At 42.0% G+C, this 1,259-nt stretch overlaps 1 annotated feature.

Annotated features, from left to right (window-relative positions):
* Nucleotides 354-855: an enhancer, noted in NCBI's record as "NANOG hESC enhancer chr13:59523861-59524362 (GRCh37/hg19 assembly coordinates)". NCBI's record gives its function as "activates a minimal SCP1, AML or CMV promoter by ChIP-STARR-seq in primed H9 embryonic stem cells {active_cell/tissue: H9 hESC(primed)}" and the evidence as "EXISTENCE:reporter gene assay evidence [ECO:0000049][PMID:30033119]".

The raw sequence follows: 1,259 nt of genomic DNA, 5'->3' as shown, positions 1-1,259 counted from the left end.
TGGTGACTACAGTTAATAACAGTGTATTTTATACTTGAAGTGGCCAACAGTGTAGATTTGAAATATTCTTACACTTAAAATGATATATATGTTATCGGGGGAGCCAGCCCCCAATATTTCAATGTAGGTTCTTTTCTATTTTCCCTAAGTGTCAGCCAGTCTGAGAAATAAAGAGTACAAAAGAAAGAAATTTTACAGCTGGGTCTCCGGGGGTGACATCACATGTCAGCAGGTTCCATGATGCCCTTTTTCTTTACCAGATATTGGGGGAACCAGCCCCCAATATTTCAACATAGGTTCTTTTCTATTTTCCCTAAGTGTCAGCCAGTCTAAGAAATAAAGAGAAAGAGTACAAAGAGAGAAATTTTACAGTTGGGTCTCCAGGGGTGACATCACATGTCGGCAGGTTCCATGATGCCACCGAGCCGCAAAACCAGCAAGTTTTTATTAGTGATTTTCAAAGGGGAGGGAGTGTGCAAATAGGGTGTGGGTCACAGAGATCCCATGCTTCAAAGGCAATAAAATATCACAAGGCAAATGGGGGCAGAGCAAGATCACAAGGCCAGGGCGAAATTAGAATTACTATTGAGGTTCCACGTCCTGCTGGGCACACATTGTCATTGATAAACCCCTTAACAGGAAACAGGATTCAGAGCAGACAACCAGTCTGACTAGAATTCGCCAGACTGGAATTTCCTAACCCTAGCAAGCCTGGGGGCGCTGTAGGAGACCAGGGCGTATTTCATCCCTTATCTACAACTGCATGAGACAGACGCTCCCAGAGCGTCCATTTTAGAGACCTCCCCCTGGGAATGCATTTGTTGTCCCAGGGTTATTCCTTGCTGAGAAAAGAATTTAGCGATATTTCTCCTATTCGCTTTCTGAAAGAAGAGAAATATGACTCTGTTCTGCCCAGCCCTGCAGGCAGTCAGACTTTATGGTTATCTCCCTTGTTCCCTGAAAATCGCTGTTATCCTGTTCTTTTAGGATGCTCAGGTTTCATATTGTTCAAACACACGTTTTACAAACAATTTGTATAGATAACGCAATCATCACAGGGTCCTGAGGCGACATACATCCTCAGCTTATGAAGATGATGGGATTAAGAGATTAAAGTAAAGACAGACATAGGAAATTATAAGAGTATTGATTGGGGAAGTGATAAATGTCCATGAAATCGTCACAGTTTATGTTCAGAGACTGCAGTAAAGACAGGCATAAGAAATTGTAAAACTATTAATTTGGGGAACTAACAAATG

Source organism: Homo sapiens, chromosome 13 (assembly GCF_000001405.40).
Source record: "Homo sapiens chromosome 13, GRCh38.p14 Primary Assembly".
Classification (NCBI taxonomy): domain Eukaryota; kingdom Metazoa; phylum Chordata; class Mammalia; order Primates; family Hominidae; genus Homo; species Homo sapiens.
Note: the sequence above shows the minus strand (reverse complement) of the source record. Positions and strands in the feature narration are given on the sequence as shown.